At 35.3% G+C, this 25424-nt stretch overlaps 1 protein-coding gene and 1 pseudogene across 14 annotated transcripts in view, besides 1 other annotated feature; both read left to right on the top strand.

Moving 5' to 3' along the window:
* The window catches only part of PAN3 (poly(A) specific ribonuclease subunit PAN3), a 157143-nt gene that overhangs the window by 93716 nt on the left and 38003 nt on the right, over nt 1-25424 (top strand). For 13 of the 14 annotated variants that reach the window (XR_941549.3, XM_011535034.4, NM_175854.8 and 10 more), the window contains one exon: nt 24384-24631. Coding sequence is in view for 13 of the 14 variants with exons in the window: in XM_011535034.4 (XP_011533336.1) it covers nt 24384-24631 (248 nt within the window). In the remaining variant the exon portion in view is untranslated. Of the gene's footprint in view, nt 1-7670; nt 7789-24383; nt 24632-25424 lie in introns of all 14 variants that reach the window. The other variant, XM_047430252.1, reaches the window with a different exon arrangement.
* On the top strand, nt 593-699 carry RNU6-82P (RNA, U6 small nuclear 82, pseudogene; annotated as a pseudogene).
* Nucleotides 6011-6666: an enhancer, noted in NCBI's record as "NANOG hESC enhancer chr13:28812056-28812711 (GRCh37/hg19 assembly coordinates)". NCBI's record gives its function as "activates a minimal SCP1, AML or CMV promoter by ChIP-STARR-seq in naive H9 embryonic stem cells {active_cell/tissue: H9 hESC(naive)}" and the evidence as "EXISTENCE:reporter gene assay evidence [ECO:0000049][PMID:30033119]".

The following is a 25424-nucleotide window of genomic DNA, read 5'->3' on the forward strand; positions in this document are numbered from 1 at the left end:
GAAAATAAATAAATAAATAAATCTTTTTAGAGTACTTTGAAATTTGTCGTTTTATTGCATAATATAAAGAGATTTTGTACTTTTAATCAGTTCATGGTGTTATAATTGAAATGTCACTGTTACGCAGTCATAAGGTAAACATTTAGCACTTTTCCTTTATATTTACCCAAAAGTGAAAACCAGTTCTTGTTTACTTCTCAAAAAAATGAAAAAGAATACTTTATTTGTAATATCTTTGTAGTCTCATTCACAGAATTCCTAATCCCCCGCAACCCGGAGGCTGTAAAAATGAGGATAAGGGGTTAGAAATTTCCAAGAAGTGACTGTTGTTAAGATAGACATTGAAGGACAGCAAAATAAGAGTAGAATTAGGTATCATAAAGAGCATAGTCTTTGAATCCAAGGTTCAGTTTACCCCGAATCTAGATGTTGGATACTTCAAGAGTAGAAAATTGTTCTATCACATCCTAAAAAACTGTTGTTTTAATGGTAACTATTGATTTGACCCACTTTAAATGGGATATATTATATTTGCATATAGAAGATGAAGCTCTAGTAGCTTCAACGTAAAAAAAAAAAATCTTTGAAATGTATGCTCACTTTGGCAGCACATACGCTAAAATTAGAACAGTACAGAGAAAACTAGCATGGTCCCTGTGCAAAGATGACATCCAAATTCATGAAGTGTTCTGCATTATAATATATTTTTAAAAAATTTATAAAGATTAAAAAATAAAAAATTTATAAAATACTGTATTGAGAATTTAATTTCCATTGGCATAAACACAAATGATATGCACAGAATTACATATACATGTATTAGGAATCACATTAAGTGTTTAGATAAGGGATCTGTTAATTTGAGTTCGAGGGTGAGCAACCCTTATCCAAAAACTTTTTTTTAAAGACTCCCTTTTATTATGTTAGGCTAAAATTGTAACCTGTTGACAGAAAATAACATAACTGTGATCTATGGGGAAATCAGGCCTCTATGAAAATAATGATTTGTGAGTGTACATATTCCTCATCAATTTTACAGAACAAGTTTTTAGGTTAGATTCATTATAAAACATCTGAATTTACAGATTAGAATACTATTATCTTTTTTTTTCTTGAGTAGCTTAATAGATATCCAGCATGCAGATTGTTAAACTAGAATACGAAAATTTTAAATCAGTAATTCTGAAAGGCAAATGTATTGGTATAGTTAGGAAAATCATGGGTAGTAACTTCAGATGGTTGCTTTTAGTAATTCTTTAAAAAGTGGAAAAAAATTATGTTAAAAACCTCATATAGAGGAGAAGGGATTTTTGTGATTTGCTTAGGTGCATTTTTTCCTAATATTTGGAAATTATGACACTTTTTTTTTTTTTTTTCAGGCGGAGTCTCACTCTATTGCCCAGGCTGGAGTGCAGTGGCATGATCTCGGCTCACTGCAACCTTGGCCTCCTGGGCTCAAGCGATTCTCCTGCCTCAGCCTCCTGAGTAGCCGGGATTACAGGCGTGTACCACCACACCCGGCTAACTTTTGTATTTTTAGTAGAGATGGGGTTTCACCATGTTGGCCAGGCTGGTCTCAGACTCCTGACCCCAAGTGATCTGCCCACCTCGGCCTCCCAAAGTGTTGGGATTACAGGCATGAGCCACCATGACCGGCCTGGAAATTAAGACATTCTTATTAGAATTGTGGCTTATTTTGTTTGGAGGAAAAGTATATTGTGTAGCTGTGTGCATTTTTTTATGTTGCAAATTAATTTTGTGTTTGAACATTTATTCCTTGAGGAAGCTTTAGAGGTACCTCAGGATGTCATAAAATCAGTGTAGAAATTAAAAAGGCTTTTATAATTTCACTGGCAAATATCAGGTTTATAGTCTTTCTAAAATCTAATCTCCCTGATGTTTTCCCTTTGTATTTCTGTAAAAAGAATATAGTTCCATTTATTTCATCAGAAATTCTGTTTTATTGCATTAACATTGATTTCATGTTAATCTTTTAAAAATTAACCAAAGATGTGTATCAGCATTTCCCAAGGTGCTTTTAAAATATACATTGCTGGCCAGGACCCCTAAACCTACCAATCCAGTTTCTCATCCAGACCTCCATTTTTCTTTTCTTTCAGTTCTATAAATGTCTTTTTTTAGAAAGCCTTTCAGGTATTGTGATGTCAATCCTATTTAAGAACCAGTGCCTTAAGAGAGTTGAGGCAGTTAAGAAGCACTAGTGTGGTCTGGTACAGTCAGGGAGAACAGGCTTCCCCCTTCCTCTTACTTTCAGTTCCATGTGGGTTTTGTTGTTGTTATTTTAAGAGGCAGGGTCTTGCTCTCTTTTCCAGGTTGGAATGCAGTGGAGTGATCATAATTCATTGCGGCCTTGAATTCCTGGGATCAGGCAGTCCTCCCACCTTGGCCCCCAAAGTGCTGAGATTACTGGCCTCCATATGTTAATAATTAGAAGAAAACTTTAATATATTGTTTATTATGAAAAATTAAAATTTTTCATGTTTTGGAGTTTTGTATGATTATGAAGATACTATTGGTGTGCATGTGAATGTATAATTTCTATATGCTGTAAAAATTATAGGTAACAAGGGTTTTAAACTGATTAATTCATTTTCCCATCTTCAGTTTTCTCTGTAGCTACTACCTAAGCTATGTGAAAATCTCTTAATTGCCTTAGGAAAGTATGTCCTAACTTGTCTTCATACCTCAATTCATTTTAGAATTTATTAACTCTTATCCTACATTCTGTTTGCTGAGTTAAGGCTTTTTCTTCTCTAGGCTTTTATGAAGTTGAGTAAACTGATCATCTTCCTCTTGAGTATTCTTTATTTTTCTTTCTTTTTTGTTTTTAATTTCAAAACCTTCATTTTAAGAAAGATTCTTGAACAGGAAACCTAAGGTTTATTTTTGTGATCTTCATTTTCCATATCTACTTGGCTTTCATATTATATCTATGAACTGTCTTCTATTTTCCTTTTTTTACTCTTGCCATCATAGCCGCTTCCATGCACTATTTAGGCTAATTGGTCTACCCTTGCATTTCTTTTTTGTATAATAACAAAAGTAATCTTAAATATAGACCAAATCATGACTAAATTGTCATTAGAATAATTTCCAAGCCCCTTACCATGGCCTGCATAATCTGTTTTATATACCTATAATCTCACCTGTCATTCTTTCCCTTGTGTACTCCGTTCTGGCCTTTTACTGACATTCCCCAAATAATGTAAAGCTCCTTTTGATTCATGTTCTCTGCATGTGTCATTCCTCCCATTCCTTCCATGGCTGGTTCCTTCTCTTCTTCTTAGGTCCCTGCTAAAGTGTCACTTATAAAAAAAGGCCTTTGACAATGTAAAGGAAGTTTCCCACCATTATTTTCCATCCTCTTCCCCTGTTTACTTCCTTTAAATAATTGAAGGTTCTATTAAAATACTGCCATCTTTCTTTTCTGATTAAATGGACCTAGTCCCTTTGACTCTACTTCATATAGGACCTCACTCTTTTATGAAGTACATCTCCTGTTCTTTAAGAATATGTATTTGAACATGGTCAGCCTTTTCCCCATCATCTCTGTGCCTTTGCTTGGGCCTTATGTTGCCTGGAAGGCTCTCCTATTTATTGAGATCTTTGCCTGCTTTTTATTGATTAGGTCAAATGTCATTTTCTTGGAAGTCATAGCTACTTCTCTGGTCATTATAGTATCTCCCATTTCTTTGCTTTTATAGTGTGTTGAGTATCTCATAATTTTTTAGTATTTTTGTCTTTCTCTAATATACACACACACACATACACACACACACACACACACACACACATATATATATATATGTATTTATTTTAGAGATAGGCTGTAGCCCAGGCTGGAGAGCAGTGGCTCGATTGTAGCTCACTGCACCCTCAAACTCCTGGGCTCCTGTCTCACCCTGTGGAGTAGCTAGGACTAGAGGCACTCACCACCATGCCCAGCTGATTTTTAAATTTTTTTTTTTTTTTTTATGGAGTTGTGGTTGCTACAGGCTGGTGAAAGTTGCTCCAGGCTGGTCAAACTTCTGGCCTCAAATGATCCTCCTGCTTCCACCTCCCAGAGTATTGGGATTACATACGTGAACCCCGTGCATGGCCTTCATGTTAGTTTTATACGTATTTATTTCCTCCACTAAAGTTAAATGCTCCTGTGGTATTTTATCCTTTATTGTGCTCACATATGAAGAGCTACAGTTAAGTATTAAGATTGAACATTTTTAAGCATTTTAATGAGCTTTATGGTAGAATGTGAACTGTGTGAGTTTAGACCTAGGTTTTATTTCTCGATATCTTCAATTTTTAGAATCTTGCTCAGCGTTTGATCTCATGCTGGTTCCAGTGAGCTTTCATATATAGGTACAGATCAGAATCACATACGGTGCTTTGAAAATATAAATTCTCTAGTCCCCATCTAGGACCTATTAAATCAAAAACACAGATTTGGAGCATCAGCCTTTATCTATATTTTTAAAAAATTCACAGGAGATTCTAACATATACCCCTTTACATCTAGAGTAAAAAATGTTCAAAATGCCAGAAAATTTGAAGGAAGGTAAATTTTATCTGATTTGAATGAGGATGTAAAGGAAAAAACTTTCATGGAAGAAGAACTGAGATGGTTTTTAAAGGAAGGATAAGATTTTTTTATCTGTTTTAAAAATGGGCAGTTGAGAGTCAGTGAAGTTTGTTATTTTTTCTATTTGTTTTAACCAGTTTAGCATAAAGACAATGTTCTCAGTGAATGTTTAAAAATTAATTCAGTCTGAATTAGGTGAAGACTGAATGAACATCTGTGAAGAAAATCTCAGGCATGGTTCCAAGCCATAGGCTTAGAGCAGGGTTCTTTTTATTTTTGTAGAGATGGGGTCTCCCTTTGTTGCCCAGCCTGGTCTTGAACTCCTGGACTCAAGCGATCCTCCTGCCTTGGCTTCCCAAAGCGTTTTGTTTTGTTTTGTTTGTTTTTCTTAAAAGCAAACAGTACCTTGGTATCAGTGCATATTGGTTAAATATCAGCTCTCTAAAAGTGATGATTTTGCATGACTATTTAGAATATTGAAATCATATGGATTCTTTTGTTTTACAGAGCTCTGTCTTAGGCTCTTAGTCCCTGCTTTTGTTATGTGGAGTTTCTTTTTATCTTTTCAAATATTTATATCCAAAGAGTAGAATTTTGTTTTAAAATTAGCATTGTTAGGCCAGTGAAAACATTAGATTGGGCTGGAACATGGAAAAATTAATGGAAAATGGCCTAGAGGTAGACAGATTTTTTTTTTTTACATGTTAAGTACCTGATGCTCCTCTTTTAAAATCTTTTTAACAGTTTTATTTGCCATCAGCTTCACAGAGTTTGGCACATTGTTTCTTGAGGGTTGTCAGAATGTGGGGAGAAGAGACTAGTAGGTAATAAGACTGGAAAAGATGGGTTGGAACCTAACTATATCACTGGAACTCAGAAATGAACAGGCAACCAAACCTTAAGACTTAATTATCATTTCTGCCCCTAGAGAACCTGTGAACCAGAAGCACCAAAACTTAATTAGAGCTTAGAACATTAGTTTTCATACATTTTTAAAAAATAGCAGCAGTACTCTTGTGAAGTCCTGTGTGAACCCCCAAACCTAAAGTTACATAAAGCAGATAAAGCTGGAATTTACCGGTTCGGGTTTATTACATTAACTCATAAAGTTATTCAGTGAGAATAACAAGGCTATGTAGTATTTTATTGAATATAATAGCTTGAAATTGGTGGGTGAAGAATAATAATTAACTTTGTATCCCTCAAGTCTCCTTTTTTATATTTTTAATCATATAGTAACATGAAAATCATGAATTCCATGGGTAAGTTGTGTACTCATGTGTTCAAGTTTCTCTGAGTACATGTGCATTTAAACAAAGATTATTGCAGAGTCACTACCTTCCTAATAAAAAACATCTGTATGTATGCACAATGGTGACAAGAGAGAGGCTTTACCTTGAGGTCTGCATGAAAATATCCTAACCCAACACAAAATTAAGTATATTGGTGTTGGTATGTTAAAACATGAATGCATGTTAATTTGACCTGCATTTGTGTGTTTTTATTTATTTAATAAACAGTGGAAAAACAGATAAAAAGAAATTCAAATCAGGCATTTACAAAACCCCGAGGCACTGCTGGAAGCCTAAGGTGTAGTTAAAACTGTTTTAAAACCACTGCCATAGGTGGCCTGTTTCTCAGTAGGAGGGAATTTACCAGTACATAGGTTAAGGAGGCTGGAAGGCTGCAGCACTTTTCTTAGCTGAGATTCCTCATTTGAACCAAAGAGTACAGAAAAGTGATATAAGCGATTATTTTGTCATTCTGCAAAGGGTAATGTCTATCAGGTGGCATTATACAATGGGTGTTTAGCTCATTGGTGCTTAATCCCCCTGAAACCCCTTTTGAAAGGTTGGGAAAGTGAGGAATCAATAAGGCATTAAAAACCAAGGAACCAAACAAAAAAGACACTTAACCAAAATGTCAGATGCCTATATTCAAATGAGTACAATTTTCAAGACAATGCATGGTCACTACTATATTGTATTTCACAAGTCTGAGCTCTTAGGCACTGAGTTTATGGCTGAGAATCAAGATTTGTTCATGTTAAAACTTGGAAATGAGAAAGATATATTTTAATTAGGATAGATTTTCATTTGATTAATTAATAGCATTGATACTTTTTTTAATGAAAAGTTGTATTGGCCACCTTCATGATTCTGTCTGGATGCAGGCTTGAGTAACGTTTGTAAACAAAAAAACTTTCAGTCTAATTCATACAAAAGGAAAAATGATGTTTCAGTGTTATGAAATTAGCTTGAGCTCTTTAGTTCCTTTTCTTATTTTTTCCCCTTTTTTTTCATAATAGTGTATTATAGATAAAACCACTAACTCATAAAATGGGAATGTTCCCTTGTTTTGTTATGGCATATCTTGAAGCTCAAAGGCTATGCATGTTGATTTTTTTTTGGGTTTAGACATAATAAGGAAGGCAAGCCACTATTTGAGGTCTTGAAACAGAACATGTTACTCTTTTCAATCTTTTGATTCAGAATATTTTATTTAACAAGTGAATCAGAACCTTGAATTTAAGGAATTATGTAACATTTCACTAGTTCATTATGTATGGCGTTAAGCAGAGTTACTCTAGATATCCAAACTGCTTTTCTGGTGGAGACTTTTAATCCCACCCCCCCCACCCCCCACCCCCGCCAACACACACACACACACACACACACACGCATGCACACACGCACACACACACACACACACACGGAAAGTAACCAACTTGTCAAAGAAAAAATACAACAAAATGAAAATAGCTTTGGCCCTTATAATACTTTCCATTTATGTTCCCTTCATATTTTTTCCCAGTGAGAAACCATATGGTTTGTGCTATAGCTTCTCTTGAAAACTTTGTTAGCTATTTAACAATCTCACTGTAACTGAGTGAAAGCTTTAATCAAGAACTGCCCATGACATATAGATGCCTTTGGTTCATTGGCTACTTCTGTAGTTGAAAGGAAGTTGAACTATTTTTTTGGACCCAGTAAGTTTGTCCTTTCCACTTGGGTGTTGAAAGAGCTTATGAGCAGTAGCTGTTCTGATTTTTGTTGGTTGTTTTCTCTAGGGAACAAGCTACCCTCTGAGTCAGCACTGGACTTGAAGATAAATCCTACAATTCATGAAACTGACTGATTCGACTAAAGGATGGATAGTTTGGGCAGCGTTGGACAGCTCTATGAGGGGTCTGTTTGTTTAACTGAAGGGATTGTTGAGTTCAGCAACTTTTAATTCCCCTAATCATAAGGGGTTGCTGTTGTGAAAACAGGGTTTGTGAAGGAATCAGTTCTGGCAATTAACATCAGTATTCTTACTGACTTCGTTTTTATTTTATTGTCAAACTTCTTTAAAGTGGATAAATTTTACTGCTTTTTTTGCCAGCAAGAATTTGTATGCACTGAGAGGTCAGCATAGAAGCTTTGCAGTCTACTTATGAATCCAAGTTTCTTTTTTTAAAATATATGAGGTTATAAACATTTCTCTCAAGTAAACTTTTTGACACTTGGATTATTTCATCTTTACAAAGGTAGTATGCATTTGTGGCTTAGAATTTTTAAGATTTAATGGAACTTAATTTGAGTAGTAAATATTTTGCTAGTTTAGTGAGTATATTTTGGCTTATGGCTAACATGCTTTTTAGATAACTTTTATTAATAAGATATAATGAATTTTTACCCTAAAACTTTACAGGCTTTTAAAAATCAATCTTTGAGGAAATGAGATTAATTATAATGTTTAATTATATGGATTTTTAATCTGAAACATGAGGGATTTAAGCTACAGAATAAAAAGCTTCATACCCTAATTTTCTGGGCCATAATTATACAGGGATACAGTGGATTGTCTTTTTGAAGATAAAACATGCTGTGGGATGACATAGAAAATCCCAAAGCTGTGTCTGTGTGATAACGCATATAATTTTGTTATTTAAGAATTAAAAGATTATAAATGTATAAATTTTATTTTAATCATTTGAAAGTTGGGATGGTTGAAAATATATAGGAGTAATGATAGTATTACCTAGCCAGTATTTGAGTAGATTCTTTAAATATCTTTGATTGATTAGGCTAGAAGTACAAATAGTCATCCATCATGGCAGAGTTTAGAAAATTGGGCTTTAGACAAATGAGTTTGCAGAAAATTCAACTTTCGCTCCATAGCTGCATGATTCTTATTACCTTGTTAAGCTTGATACTTTTGATTAAGAACATTTTTTGCCAGATTTGATTTTCTCTGCAAAGGTTAATTTGATTGAAAAAATGAAATTATTTTGAGGAAAGAAGTAAAGGCTAGTATTATTTTAGTGTCTACTTTCTGATTCTGTTGATTTTTGGATGGTGAAGTGGTTGGTTTTATATTGTACACTCTATTCTGGGATGAGATCCATGTTTAAAACATACATATGCCTATGTCTTGTTTGTCCCAGTCATATCTTTATTTGTGTCCACTTTTAAATTTTCCTTTTCGGCCGGATGTGGTGGCCCATGCCTGTTATCCCAACACTTTGCTGGGAACCGAGGTGGCAAGGTTGCTTGAGTCCAGAGTTCAAGACCAGCCTGGGCAACATGTTGAGACCCTGTCTCTACAAAAAATACACAAATGAGCCAGGGGTGGTGGCATGTGCTGGTGATCCAAGCTACTAGGGAGGCTGAGGCAGTATATGATTGCTTGAGCCTGGGAAGTTGAGGCTTCAGTGAACCATGTTGGCGCCACTGCACTCCAGCCTGGGCAACAGAGTGAAACGCTGTTTCAAAAAAAGGACAAAAGAAAGAAAAAAGAAAGTTCTCTTCAACAGAAGGCTGTACTTGCATATAGTATATAGTCATCTGGAGCTTGGGAATTTTTTTGACTAGGTTGCATCAATTGCAAATAATGCTGTGACATTCAAACTTTAATTGCAATAGTAATTATGCTGAAATACCTTCCTTAAACTCAGTTTCTTCTTCTATTAAGAAGAGCCAGTGATAGAAATGGTCTGAGGAATAAAGCTTGTCTCTGAAGCACTGAAATAACAAGTGGTGGTGGCAGGGGTGGGGTTGTGAGGGAGGCTTCGTTGAACTCAACTTTGGATAGTTTATTTATTTCTACTCTTTGAATCATAAGGAAAATCAAAGAAGAGACTTTATTAATTCTTAACATGTTTAGGACTCTTAGAATTTGGGGATATAAACACAGTGTCTGTGTTTTGGGCTATAAGTGTGTATTCTTTAATTTTGGGTGATTTGGGGAATTTGGTTAAAAATGAATAAGTATTTGTAGTAGTAGCGCATTTTTTGTATTTTGATTATGATTACATAAGTTCCTTAGTATGATTTTTCTCATGGCAAAAGCCCCAGATATTGGCCTTGTTATTAAGAAGATAATGCTTCACATGTTCTCAAGTCATCTGTTCAAGATGACATATGTTTTATTAATTTCTAATCTAAATCATTATCTTCAATGTAGTTAGACATGACAATTTATTATTGAGGATTTAGTTTGGTTATTGGAACTTCATTAAAACTATTTGTATAACCCATGTTTACCCAGATTGCATTGACCTAGAAAAAGTAACACATACTAGAGTAATGAGACTTTGTCAGAAGAATGTCCTTCATCCCAGCTTCCTTCACATTCCTCTATTTCTCTCGTAGTGTCTAGTGGGTTGTTTCATGTTTGCTTTTAAATAGTATTGACTGACATATGTGCTGCTTGATAGCATGATCATTTACTTTTCCTCTGCCCCCAGATTTTTGTTATACTTAGTACTTCTTCCGTGATGGCCTTTGTCAGTGCAGGCAATTTGATGATGATAGCTATTGCTGTATTTAGCATCTTGGTTGTTGGTACCAAGAAAAGAGGAGATCTTCACCTCTAATCCATTTTTTTTCAACAAAATTATTTTTTTGAATAATTTCCCATCTACACAGTGTGCCATTTACATGTGTAGATGGGAATACAGAGAGGATTAAGGCACAGTTCTTCCCCATAGAACAATTGAATCACATGTGGTATTTGCAGCAAAAAGAAGAACAAAGTGATGGGAATAATTTTTAGATATGGGTGTCAAGAAAATCTTCATCAAGAAGGTATTTCAGAAGGATGAACTAGAATTTACTGTGAGGTTGAGGTTTAGAGTATTTGGTGTTGGCAAGTACGGCTGTTGATGTATGAGAGGAAGGAGAAGCTTTTTTGATGTGTGGGTACATGAAGCATCATGGTGTCTTCAGAGAAGCTGTATCAATCTTTAGAGAATTTGAAAAGAATCTTCATTACAGTATTGTCTTCCAATCTGTGAACATGGATGGGTTCTCCCTCTCCAGTTGTTCCCAGGTTGTCTTTAATGTCTTTCCACAAAGTTTTGTAATTATTCATGTTTAGGTCTTATACATATTTCGTTAGGTTTATTTTGTATCTTTATACAGGATGCTTTGTAGTACTCACTGGTATCATAATTGGTGTCTTTAAAAAAATCTTTTAAATGGATTATTTCTGATGTTTAGATATATGGTAAACTTTTGTATTTGGTCACCCTGATAAACTCTTATTTCAAATATTTTGTAGATTCTTGTATTTGGATGATGGCAAACAATGATAGCTTTATTTCTTCCCTTCCAGTTTTTTTTCCTGCCATCTTGTGCTGGCTAGGGCCTTTAGTACAATGTTATAGAGAAGTGCTCATAGTTGATATTTTTGTCTTGTTACTGATTTTAAAAAGAATGTTTTTGATATTTCCCTATTTAGGATGATCTTCACTCTGGAATCTCAGATGCACTTGATTTGGATACCCTTTTTAACTTTTCTGGTTGAAGCAAATATTCCAGATTTTACTGGAATGGATTTAAAACCTTGACACTAATTCATGAGGCATTTATTCAGTGACTTTTATGGGCCAAAAACATAAGCAAAACAAAAATTTTCACTTTTATGGAATTCACAGCTTTTATTTTTCATTTGTGTCTGTCTTCATTTGAATTACTTACACTTTGAATTACTTGCCATTATCATAATGAAAATGTTTTAATTGGTAGGTGTTGCTACATTGACTTAAAAAGATACCAGAAGTCTACGGCAGTGTTTATATTCCACACAGCCTTTTAATAATGGTCTGATTAAACTTTTTTTTTTAATCTATGCCAATCTGAGAAGAGGCTAACAGTGAGCCACTTTTAATTTCTATCTCTTTAGGTTTTGTTTTTGTTTTTGTTTCTGTTGTGAGAGGGAGTGTTGCTCTGTCATCCAGGCTGGAGTGTAGTGGCATGATCTCGGCTCCCTGTGAAGCCCGCCTCCCAGATTACAGTGATTCTCCTGCCTCAGCCTCCTGAGTAGCTGGGATTACAGGTGTGCGCCACCACGCCCAACTAACTTTTGTATTTTTAGTAGAGCGGTATTTCACCATGTTGGTCAGGCTGGTCTCGAACTCCTGACCTCGTGATCCACCTTCCTCGGCCTCCCAAAGTGCTGGGATTGCAGGCAGGAGCCACCGCACCTGGCCTAGTTCTTTTTTTAAAACATAAACTCTTTCAGAAAAGATGCATCTTTTTAATTAGCACCAGATGTGAGCATCTTTTTATGTTCGAGGCATTTTTCTTTTCTGCAAACTGGCTAGTTGTATAATTTGTTCATTTTCCACTGCTTGCTTTCTGTTTTCTTTATGATTTTAAGAACTGTAGGTTAAGCAGACTAGCCCTTTATTAAGTGTTGCAGGTATCTTTTTTTGTTCTGTAGCAATTTTTGTCTCTTGAAGAAGTTAAATTGATGAACATTTTATTTTTTGACCTTCGGATTTTGTTTCTTCATAACAGCATATTTTAAAAAGTAGTCTGAGAGTTATTTTATTTTAAACTCTTAAATATTTAGTCTGAATATTCATGTGAAATTTATGTGGGTGTAATGAATGAAAGGGAGATTCACTTTTTTTATTTTATCTATATAACCATCTGTTTGTTTATTCACTTTATTGTTTAGTAATGGCTAGCAAGTTGTCACATCTGATTATTGAGCAGGTCATCTCCTCCCTTGAAGTCTGAATATAACATAAAGTATAACCTTTATGTTTTACTGACTTTATATATACATATTTGAGATCGGTTTTGGTGTCCTATTCTTTTGCACTATTCATATGAGCCTCTATCAAACATCTATCTTCATTACTGTAGGTTTGATCATTTTTCAGTGTCTAATGGTGTTATGGCCCACTTTTATCTTGTTTTTGTTTTTTTCTTTTAAATTTTCTGCAATTTCATCCTTAATTGTTTTTCTTTTCTTCAGTAGTAGTTTTTTTCTGGCTATTCTTGATGCTTTTTTTCCCCCACATAGATATAATTAGCTTGGTTAATATTTTTATTTTGTTTTATTTTATTTTATTTTATTTTTGAGATGGAGTCTTGCTGTGTCGCCCAGGCTGGAGTGCAGTGGCGCGATCTTGGCTCACTGCAACCTCCGCCTCCCGGGTTCTAGCAATTCTCCTGCCTCAGCCTCCTGAGTAGCTGGGATTACAGGCATGCGTCACCACGCCCGGCTTATTTTTGTATTTTTAGTAGAGACAGGGTTTCACCATGTTGCTCAGACTAGTCTTGAACTCCTGACCTCATGATCCACCCACCTCGGCCTCCCAAAGCGCCGGGATTATAGGCATGAGCCAATGTGGCCAGCCAGCTTGGCTAATATTTTTAAATTTTGTTGGTATTTTTATTGAGCTAGCATCATAATTTTAGATTATTTTAGGGTAGAATTGACATCTTTATAACAAATGAGTGTTTATTCCCCTTTGTTTAAGTAATCTGTTATTTCTGTCAGTAGGTTTTTATGTTTTCTTCATACAGGTCTTATACAGTTCTAGTTGTTTATATCTACAGATTTTATCTTTTTTGTTGCTGCTAGTAAATGTAAGTGGGTTCCTTTTTTTTTTTACATTGTATTTCATTGTCCCCCCAACACCCCTCCCACATTTGATTGATAGTCTTCTTGATCCCTTTTGATTCCTCTTCCCTACCCCCAAGCAGTGATTTGAATATTAATTTTTTCATTGAGATATAATTCACATACCATAAAATCAATCCTTTTAAAGTATGTAATTCAGTAGGTTTTAATATATCAAAAGATCATGGAACCATTACCATTCAAATTCCACAGCATTTTCATCACCCCAAAAGGAAACTGTATCTGTTAACCAACACTTCCCGTTTTTCTCTCTCTCCATTCCCTGAAAACCACTAATCTATTTTCTGACTTTTTATAGATTTGCCTGTGCTGCACATTTCATATAAATAGAATCATATAATATGTGGCTTTTTTATGTCTAGCCTCTTTCAGCTAATGTTTTCAAGGTTCATCCGTGTTGTAGTGTATGTCAGTATTTCCTTCCTTTTATGGGTGAATAATATTCCATTATGTGGATATATCATATTTTGTTTACCTGCTTATCAGTTGATAGACATTTGGATTATTTCCACTTTTTGGTAATTATGCATAATGCTACTATGAGCATTCATGTACATGTTTTTGTGCGAACCTATGTTTTTAGTGCTCTTCGGTAATATGCCTAGTAGTGGAATCACAATTCCACTGTTAGGGTCATAGCAATTGATTATAGCCATCCTAGTGTGTATGAAACAGTATATTATTGTGGTTTTGATTTCTGTGTCCCTAATGACTAAAGATTTTGAGGAGTTTTCCATGTGCTTATTGGCCATTTGTATGTGTTCTTTGGAAAAAAATGTCCATTCAAATCCTTTGCCCAGTTTTAAATTTACTTGTTTGATTTTTTTAAATCATTGTGTGGTTTTTATATTCTTATTCATACTAGACCTGTTTTTTTTAAATTGATACATAATAACTGTACATAATTTGCTGGTATGTGTGTTGTTTTGATACATGCATACAATGTGTAATGATCAAATTAGAGAAATTGGGATAGCCATTCCCTCAAACATTTGTGTTGGGAATATTTCACTTCTTCTCTTCTAGCTATTTTGAATTACACAATAAATTGTTAACTGTAGTCACCTCCTATACTATTGAACCCTAAGTCTTATTCCTTCTAACTGTATTTTTGTACCCGTTAACCAACCTCTTCAGTCCCCCACCCACCAACACTTCTCAACTTCTGGTAACCACCAGTCTTCTTTCTATCTCTATGAGATCTACTTTCTAAGCTTCTGCATATGAGTGAGAACATGCAGTGTTTATTTTTCTGTTCCTGGCCTTATTTCACTTAACATAATGACCTTCAGTACCATCTTGTATTGCTGAAAATGACAGGATGTCATTTTTTTTATGACTGAAGAATATTCTATTGTATGTATGTACCACATTTTCTTCATTCATCCATTAATGGACACTTCAGTTGACTCTGTATCTCGGCTATTGTGAATAGTCCTGCAATAAACGTGGGAATGTAGATGTCTCTTCTACATACTGATTTCTTTTCTTTGTATAAACCCAGCAGTGGGATTGCTGGATCATATGGCAGTTCTGTTTTTAGTTTTTTTGAGGAACCTCCATACTGTTTTCCATAGTGGCTGTACTCGTTTTCATTCCCATCAACAGCATACCAATGTTCTCCTTTTTCCATATCCTCACCAGTATTCATTATTTTTGTCTTTTTGATAAAAGCCACTTTAACTGGGGTAATATGATCTCATTGTGGTTTTGATTTGCATTTCCCTGGTGATTAATAATGCTGGACTTTTTTCATATAACTTGGTCATTTGTATGTCTTCTTTTGGGAAATGTCGGTCCTGATCTTTTGCCTATTTTAAAATCAGACTATTTGGATTTATTTTTTTATTTTTATTTTTATTTTTTCTATTGAGGTGTTTGAGTTCTTTATACTAATCATCAATTTCCCGATGAAGGGATAGTGTGCATATATATTCTCTCTTTCTGCAGATTGTCTTCACTTTGTTGATTGTTTCTTTTGCGGTGCAGATACTTTTTAGTCTAATATAGTCCCATTTGTCTATTTTTGCTTTTGTTGCCTATGCTTTTGAGATCTTACGCAAAATATCTTTGCCCAGACTGATGTCCTGAGGGCTTTCCCAATGTTTTTTTCCTAATAGTTTCAAGTCTTAAATTTAAGTCTTTAATCCACTTTGATTTGATCTTTGCATATGGTAAGAGAAAGGAATATAGCTTCATTCTCTGCATGTAGTTATCCAGTTTCCCAAACACCATTTATTGAAGAGGCCATCTTTTCCCCAATAGGTGTTCTTGGCACCGTTATGGAAAATTAGTTGCCTATAAATATGTGTATTTATTTCAAGTTCTGTGTTCTGTTCCATTGGTCTGTGTGTCTGTTTTTATGCAGGTACCATACTGTTTCGGTTACTGTGACTTTGTAATATATTTTGAAGCAAGTAGTAGATGTCTCGTGCTTTGTTATTTTTGGTCAGAATGCTTTGGCTATTCAGGTTTTTTTAGTTTCATATGAATTTTGTATTGTTTTTTCTGTTTATGTAAAGAATGTCCTTGATATTTTGATAGACTGTGTTGAATCTGTAGATTGCTTTGGGTAGTATTAACATTTTAACAATATTAATTCTTCCAATTCATGAGCATGGGATATGTTTCACTCTTTTTGTGTCCTCTTCAGTTTCTTTCATCAGTGTTTTATAGTTTTGCTTGTAGAGATCTTTCACTTCTTTGGTTAAATTTATTCCTAGATATTCTATATTTTTTGTAGCTATTGCAAATGGGATTGCTTTCTTGATTTCTTCTTCAGGTTGTTCACTGTTGGCATATATAAATGTTACTGGTTTTTTTAAGTTGGTTTCATATCCTGAAACTTTTACTAAGTTTGTTTATCACTTCTGACAGTTTTTGGGTGGAGTCTTTTGGTGTTTCTAAATATAATATCACGTTGCCTACAAACAAGGATGATTAGATTTAGATTTTTCCTTTCCAAACTGTTTGCCTTTGTTTTTTCCTCTTGCCTAATTGCTGGGGCTAGGACTTCCAGTACTATATTGAATAAAAGTGATGAAAATGGGCATCTTTGTCTTGTTCCAGATCTTAGAGGAAAGGCTCTTTTTTTTTTCTTTTTAAATTTAAGACAGGGACTCGCTCTGTCACTCAGACCGGAGTTCAGTGGTGCAATGTTGGCTCACTGCAACCTCCGCCTCCTGGGCTCAAGCAGTCCTCCCACCTCAGCCTCCTGAGTAGCTGGGACTACAGGCGCATACCACCATACCCTAATTTTTTGAATTTTTAGTAGAGATGGGGTTTCACCATGTTGTTTAGGCTGGTTTAAAATTCCTGAGCTCAAACCATCTTCCTGTCTTGGCCTCTCAAAGTGCTGGGCCAGAGGAAAGGCTTTTAACTTTTCTCATTCGATATGGTGTTAGCTGTGGGTTTGTCATATATAGCTTTTATTGTTTTGGTGTAAGTTTCTTTTTTACCCAGTTTGTTGTTTTTATCATAAAGGGATGTTAAATATTGGCAAATATTTTTTTCAACATCTGTTGAACTGACCATTGCATGTTAGACCTTTATTAAATATATGATTTGCAAATATTTTCTCCTATTTTGTGAGTTGCCTATTCACTTTCTTGATAGTTTCCTATGAGTTACAAAAAGTTTTAAATTTTGATGAAGCCTGATTAAAAAAATGTTTTTGGTTGCTTGTGCTTTACTTGTCCTATCTTTTATTTATTTATTTGTTTGTTTGTTATTTATTTCTTGCATCTGCTCCACTGGCAATACTTGTCTTAGCATAAGAAGCCATTGCTCGACTAAAAGTCACAATGGTTTATACCTATGTTTTCTTTGTTGTATTTTGTGCATTTAGGTTTTTGATTCATTTTGAAGTAATTTTTGTATATGGTATGAAGTAGGTGTTGGATGTTATATATTATGTTTCTGTTTCACGTGGTCACCACTAGATTTTTACCATTCATGCTTTAACTAAGTATGGAATTGTTGAAGAGATGGGCAGTAAAAATATTAACGCAAGATTTTTATTATTTTTTTTTTTGAGGTGGAGTCTCACTCTGTTGCCCAGGCTGGAGTACAGTGGCGTGACCTCGGCTCACCACAGCCTCCACCTCCTGGGTTCAAGTGATTCTTCTGCCTCAGCCTCCCGAGTAGCTGGGACTACAGGTGCCTGCCACCACACCTGGCTAATTTTTTGTATTTTTAGTAGAGACGGGGTTTCACCATGTTGACCAGGCTGGTCTCGAACTCCTGACCTCAAGGGATCTACCCGTCTCAGCCTCCCAAAGTGTAGGGATTACAGGCGTGAGCCACCGCGCCCGGCCAATAAGAATTTTTAATGACTTTGAGCCTTCCTGTCCCCCTTCAGTGTTTTAGTTATCTAGAATTTTAGTTACACTTTGACTTTTATTCTTTTACTGTCAGTGCTTATTCAAATTTTCTCACATATTCTTACATTCCATGCCTTTTAAGAGGGGAGTTTCCTTTTTAGTGAAGTTGATCTTTTAATAGTTCTTTCACCATGGAGATGCTAGTGACAAACCTTAAACATGTCTCTCTTTCTTCATTTGTAGATTGTATATAAATTTCAAGTAGACAGTTATCTTTTCTCCTTTGAAAATTTCATTGTTTAGTGTTGCTGATACAGTTAGCATAATTATTTTTCTTTTGTTAGATCATTTGTCTCTTTTCTGGTAGCTCTTAAGATTTTCTCTTTGTCTTTCGCATGCTGCATTTTTGCATAATTGGTAGAAAGGACTTATTTTGCTCAGAACTCTTTTTTTTTTTTTTAAACAGCATCTCTCTGTCACCCAGGCCTGAGTGCAGTGGCACGATCATAGCTCGCTTTACCATTTTCCTCCCTGGGCTCCAGCAATCCTTCCACCTCAGCCTCTTGAGTAGCTGGGACTACAGGTGCATACCATGTCTGGTTTATTTTAATTTAATTTAATTTTTTTTTGAGACGGAGTTTCACTCTTATCACCCAGGCTGGAACAGTGGTGCAACCTCTGCTCACTGCAACCTCTGCCTCCCTGGTTCAAGTGATTCTTCTGCCTCAGCCTCCCAAGTAGCTGAAATTACAGGCATGTTGCCACCATGCCTGACTAATTTTTGTATTTTTAGTAGACACGGGGTTTCAGCATGTTGGCCAGGCTGGTCTCAGACTCCTGACCTCAGGTGACCCACCCGCCTCGGCCTCCCAAAGTGCTGGAATTACAAACATGAGCCACCGCACCCGGCCTAATTTTTTATATTTTTTGTAGAGACGGGGTTTCACCATGTTGCCCAGACTGGCCTCTAACGCCTGGCCTCAAGCAGTCCGCCTGCGTCAGCCTCCCAAAATGCTGGGATTACAGGTCTGAGCTACCACATTCAGCCTCTGCTGAGAACTCTTAACTTAGAACTTCTTGAGTGAGGAGTTGTGTGCTGAGTTCTTGAAAATCACAATTCTTTTTTTTCGAATGTTGCTTCTCCAGTATTCTTTTCTTCTTTTCCTGGATATTTACATTTTCATTATTTTGTATCTCTTAACTGCTCTTTTAAATTTTCCAGGTTTTATTTCTGGTTAATTTCCTCAGATCTTTATTTATTTATTTATTGTTTCCCTCTTTGATTTATCTAATTTATTGTTTCACTCTTTGATTTATCTACTTTGCTATTTAATGCATCTTTTGATGTTTTTTCCCTTTAATTTTAATGCTTATGTTTTCACTCTTAAAGAGCCAGTGCACTCTGTTTTAGAATTACAGACACCTTATTCTTTTGTGATGTTTGTCACTTCTTTCATATTCTTAATCACCTCCGTAGTAATTATATTTTATAATCTGTTTTATATGGTTCTGTTACCTGGACTCTTTGTTCTTGTGTTGCTAATTCTCAAGTATGTTGTACATGCTCGTTCTTATGAGTTCTTTTAAGTGCGATTATTTTCTGTGGAAGGTTCTTGTATGTTGTCATTTTTGTGGAAGTGTTCATCAAAATAGTTTGGTGTTTGCTTCAGCAAGGTGTCTGAAGAGTTTTTCCAAAGCAGGTCGAGTATTGTGTTGATTTCTTGTCGGGATTCCTGTAACATGGAATCTCATGAGGATTTTCTCTCTTATACTTATGCATGGAACAGGCATGTGGTTTCCATTTCTCTTAAGACGTCACCCCAGTCCTCCAACCTTCCTCCTTTTTCTCCATTGCTCTTCGACAGACAGGCTTCCCTTTTTGTTCTATGAGCTGATAGAAATGTCCTGTATTTACTGCTTTTCCAGAGTCCTGGTTTTACACAGCGGTTTTAGTTTCATTTTCTGTATTCTGTGGGCTCATGGCCACATTTCGTGTACCCTTGTGGGCCTTAGAAACTCAACTTGTAGAGACTGTATCTGACCTAGCTTATAATTCCCCAAACTCCACGACATAACCTCCTGGCTTCAGATTCTGCTTTAGTTTCTTGCTCTTGGGGTTGGTTTGTTTGTTTGTTTGTTTGTTTGGTTTTGAGACAGAGTTTTATTCTGTTGCCCAGGCTGGAGTACAATGGTGTGATCTCGGCTCACGGCAACCTCCACCTCCCAGGGTCAAATGATTCTCCTGCCTCAGCCTCCTGAGCAGCTGGGATTACAGGTGCGCACCACCACACCCAGCTAAATTTTGTATTTTTAGTAGAGATGGGGTTTTGCTGTGTTGGCCAGGCTGGTTTTGAACTCCTGACCTCAGGTGGCCTGCCTGCCTCAGCCTCCCAAAGTGCTGGGATTATATGTGTGAGCCACTGCGACGGGCCCTTTTTTTTTTTTTTTTTTTTTTAAGATCAGGTATATTTTAAATGTTGGGATGTTGTGTTTTATCTCACAGTTCTGTGTGTTCATAACATTGGTAGGGGTTGAGGGAGGGTGTCCATGTTAGTTTAGTCTCTCATTTTCCAGAAATAATATTGTCCTAACTGGTTGGTTGTATTTAGGAAGGGTGCTGATTTGGTATATATTAATTTTCTAATCATTAATGAATTCTGTAATTATTTTCCAGGAGTTTTTTATGTTGTTTCTCTTAGGTTTTCCAGAAATAGAATTGTGTTATCCAAAAAAACAGTGATGCTTTGCCTTTATAGATTAGCCTTGAAGTTTTTAAAATCTCATTTCTTTCTTTTGTTAGTTCCAGTTAATTTCTCCAGTAGACATTCCTGTGTTGTTCCTTACTTTTATTTGAATTGGGTACTTTTGAGAATCATTTTTCAAATGCCCTAAAGCAGTTAATTTATCATATATTACTTTTAAATATCTCAGTTTGCATGTTCACTTTAGAAGTTACAGTGTAATTATTGTATACTGATGTCATCAGAATGTCATTTCAAGAGTAAATGACAAAAAAAAATACAAAAAATGAAATACGAAAGTGAAATATTCTTAATTTAGAATATTTAAAATACAAATTTTCATCCTTCTAGATTGTTGTTATGCTGATCTTCTATGTATTACTATATTTGCTGTAGTGCTCTGTTGATTGAGTGTCAGTTAATATCAGGGTGTTCCAGTAACCATTGGTAGCCCTTTCCCTGCTGTATATGGAAAGATTGAAATTATACAAGAATATTTATGTGTGAAACATGAAATTTCTAATGAAGAAGAAGAAACTTCTATTACAGTGTATCTGATGTACCTCATTATTAAAAGAAGACCTTTAGTTTTATTATATCAAATGGTTTCCTGAAACCCTTTTAGCGTAAGATTCCTGTGGTTAAACATTAAATAATATGCAATGGAAGATGTCATTTTAAATTAAGAATTCTTAACTTTCAATCAGATTTTCTTAATTTGAGCAGAATCTGCTCATTTTAATTCAGCATCCTATTTTAAACTACTTGTTCCTGTAGTGTGGTTCTATTCTTTCTTGCTGTTTATAATTTAGTACTGTATGTAGGCACTTAAGAATGGGCATCTTGTTAGTATTGTCTTCATAATACTAAATACAGAATACCTCTCTCCAAGTGGATGTGTAGATATTTTACTCAGTTCTTTAACACACTTATAAAATATACAGATGACACAAAGCTGTGTCTTTTGTGATTAGATTAGGTATTTCAGTAATTTAGTTTTTAATTTCCTATGCAATTTAAGTATCCTATTATCCTTATTGGCGGGGGTGGTGATGCTTACTGTTGTACATGTTTTATTTTGAATGTTCTTTCTTTGCTTTCCTTTTTTTTTTTTTCCTTAGAGAGACAGGGTCTCGCTATGTTACCCAGACTGGAGCACAGTGGCTGTTCATGGGCGCTTTGTGGCTCATGCAGCCTCAAACCCCTGGGCTCAAGCGATCCTCCTGCCTCAGTCCCCCAGGTAGCTGGGACTACAGGCTCACACCACTGCACTCAGCTTACATTTGAATGTATTTAAGTAACTCCAGTCAGCCTCAGCTCAGATGAACTCAAATTTTATTTCTGCAACTTTATATTAAAATAACCTCACAAAATTTAGAATTCTTAAGAGAACTCTTGATACCCTATAGTAAATTCTACTATAGGTGAATTTCTATCTTAACTCACCTTAGATTGTTTTTATGGTAATCTCTTTCCACGTACTCAGCCTTGAAGAGAGATTCTACTTTTTGTCTCACTTACATACCTACTTTGATGTCAGAATCTTTCCCTTCAGCCAATGCTACACATAGCCCCATCCCCACGTAGCTTTAGTAGTCACACTAAAGCTAGTAAAACATGTAATTGATTTCCTGTTTTCGTATGTGTGTAAGACTTAGGAATTGGTCAACTATATAGCATGTTGGCTGAGAGCACTGACTTTGGAATTAAATCAACCTGAGTTTGAGTCTTGATTATGTTGCTGAATTACCTATATTTGTCCTTACAGTAATTATTTTGATCTTTTAAGTTAGTTTCTCCTCTGAAATAAATATGCTATACCTACCTCACAGGGTGGTTGTGAGGATTAAGTAGATTGATGGATGTGGAGCACTTAGATTAGTGCCTGAAACATTGAAAGGGCTCAAGAATTGTAGTTCTGTTGTATTACTTAATGTCATAATAGTAAACAAATTTACTCATCTTTGGTTACTTGGCCAGTTTATTTTGGAAAGTCTTAGAGACTAGCTTTAGGAAAATCTGTCTAAATGCATTTCATTTTAGACAAGTAGGGAGTTTTTATCCATTGATAATAGTCTAATATAATTTTTGCTGTATGGATTAACCTTTAATTAACTGTACAATATAGAGTTAGATTAAAAACAGCTCTGGAATAGTTTTTAAAAAATAAAATAAAAGGTTTATATAAATATAGTAATTTGGCTTCATATTTTTTTTAAGGAGTTTGGGTTTTTTTAAAGTTTCTTTTATACACATTTAAGACATAACTCGAGAATTCCTATCCTATTTTAATCTCAATGCAGTAGACATTGTGTTATAGTAAGTAGGAGTACTAGATTGGGAATTTGGAGAGTTGAGTTTGAGTCTTGGCTTTGCTGTTGACTTTGCATGTATGTCCTGTGGTGTTTATAGCCTGATTTACCTCACCTACCTACTTTAGTTGCTCAGAAAACCAGAAATAATTATGTTGAGGCTCTTCAGAAAGTACAGAGGGCTATCCAAAGAAAAGAAAAGTATTACCTCAGTTCTCTGCTTATTTTTGTTCACCTACATGTTTTCAGAAAACATGTTGGTATCTTATGAATTATTAGAAATTGAAACTCATATCCCTGTTAATCATAATTTTGTGACTAGGGCATTTTTGGTAGCCCTTTTCTTATATTGTGAGGTGGCATATTATTTCAGTGGTGAAGGTTTTTAGGCATTCACCAAATAGCCAGAAAACAGTTCCTGGATAAGCTTATTTTTTTCAGGAAGGGTAACTGTTGCTCTAAATACCCTTTTCAGTCTGCTCAGAACTGATCACCTCCATTAAGCCTTTGATTAACGCTACCTGGTTTTAATTAATTTGCATTTCATCAGCATTTATGCATGTAGTTTGTAGTGTATTAGTTTATATTTGGGTTTTTTTAAGTTATTTTATGTCTTTTACATGTGACCTGGTCTTTTTTTCTCAGCTAGCTTGGAATCTCCTGAAGGGTAAAGACAATTGTCCTTTCCCTTTCTTCACAATAAACTCATAATAGAGGGCGCTTTGCACATAATGTTTCTTACTGGTTGTGGTTGTTCCACTGGAACATAGTGGTTGTTCCACTAGAACATAATGGTATCAATTGGCCTAATTCTAAATAGTATGCATCTGTAGAAATTTTCAGAGTATGCCTGTTTAGAGTTAATGACAAAAAGGCATCAAAACAACAGACTGCTTGATACTAAAAATATGGCACTTAAGCTGCTATGTATTTCAACTTTTTTTTTTTTGCTTTTTCAAACAATTTTGTTAATTATATTTGGCTGAATGAAATCTAGTAGCTCTTCATTAGATAATTTGAATTTTTAATACTGTAATATATTTGGGGAATGTGCTATTTGTATTGTTAATGATTCTTAATAAAAAAGGAATTATGCCTTTTATAAAAGAAAAACTTTTATAAAAGGCATAATTTTATAAAGAGCCACAATTCTGTTACTTCCCACTCTTCCATTAATTTATTAAATTTTTGGTCACTCTTGCTATTAAATTTCCTGATGTAAACCTTGATATGGAGGAGACTATTCTTGCAGTAAATCTGCTAACATATTTGGAAATAAGTACATTTGAAAAAAGAAACTTTACATTTGCTTTAATCAGAGCTTTTTCTACAACAAAACAAGATAAAATTATTTCCTTCATCTTTGCACTTACGATCCCAAAGATGATGTTTCTTCCAAATGAATGTTTGCATTTTATTTTCCAGACTTGTTCTCTAAAACCAATTATTGCTCCATTAAGAAACATTTTTACATCTTCTTCAGGAATGTCGTTGTCTGCTGGGTCTTCCCCTCTTCATTCCCCCAAGATTACTCCACATACTTCTCCTGCTCCCAGAAGAAGAAGTCACACTCCAAATCCAGCAAGTTACATGGTGCCTTCTAGTGCCTCTACATCTGTTAATAATCCTGTTTCTCAGACTCCGTCTTCTGGTCAGGTGATCCAAAAGGAAACTGTTGGTGGGACGACTTACTTCTATACAGACACAACTCCAGCACCTTTGACTGGAATGGTATGTCTACATTAAAGAGGAAATTTTAGTACTCTCTTGTAACAGGACCTTCTTAGTTGTGAGGCGGTCTACCCCCTCCTGCAGCTTTTTATTGTGATGCAAAAAAGTATTTCATTTTCTAACTTAGATGAGAAGTCTAGTCTCTTCTTCTCAACTCTTCAAATTAATCTAGTTCTGCCTTACTAATAATTCTAGTTTTGGACTAAACTGGTTTAATCAGAAATTAGATTATATCCATGCTCTTATTTTAGTCTTTATGGCATGTTTTGCTTATGGGTTTACCTTGTACTAGCTGGAATTGATGCCTGCTGACATTTGTTTATAGGTATAGATAGTTTAACCTCAGTAAGAAGCTAGAAAAAGTAGATGGTATGTCCTCAGTAGTTACTGGAAGCAAATCAATGATAAACCCTTATTTCAGATGAGGTAGTTATTTAACAGCTAGATCTGTGGATGGTGGAGTGACACATAATGATAAGGGGCCTGCAGTATGGCTCTTATGCTCAGGAGATAGAGTAGTCAGACCCAAGAGAGCCATGATTGTAGATGACGAAAGAGCTACCAAAGGACTGGCGATGAAGTGAGGGAAGAATCGTGAAACAAATGGGAAGAGGTGGCCCCAGAGGAAACATGAATATTAAGACCAAAAGAGGAAGAACATGGCCAGAAAGAAAGATTTCTTATCAGAGTCAATTAGTAATGTTCCAGGAGAGGGAGAAGGAACAGGAGTCAGGGGGCGAGAATGAATGGGGAAGGAGAGGGAAGGATTCCATGTTACGTAAATTGTACCTTT

Source organism: Homo sapiens, chromosome 13 (assembly GCF_000001405.40).
Source record: "Homo sapiens chromosome 13, GRCh38.p14 Primary Assembly".
Lineage (NCBI taxonomy): Eukaryota > Metazoa > Chordata > Mammalia > Primates > Hominidae > Homo > Homo sapiens.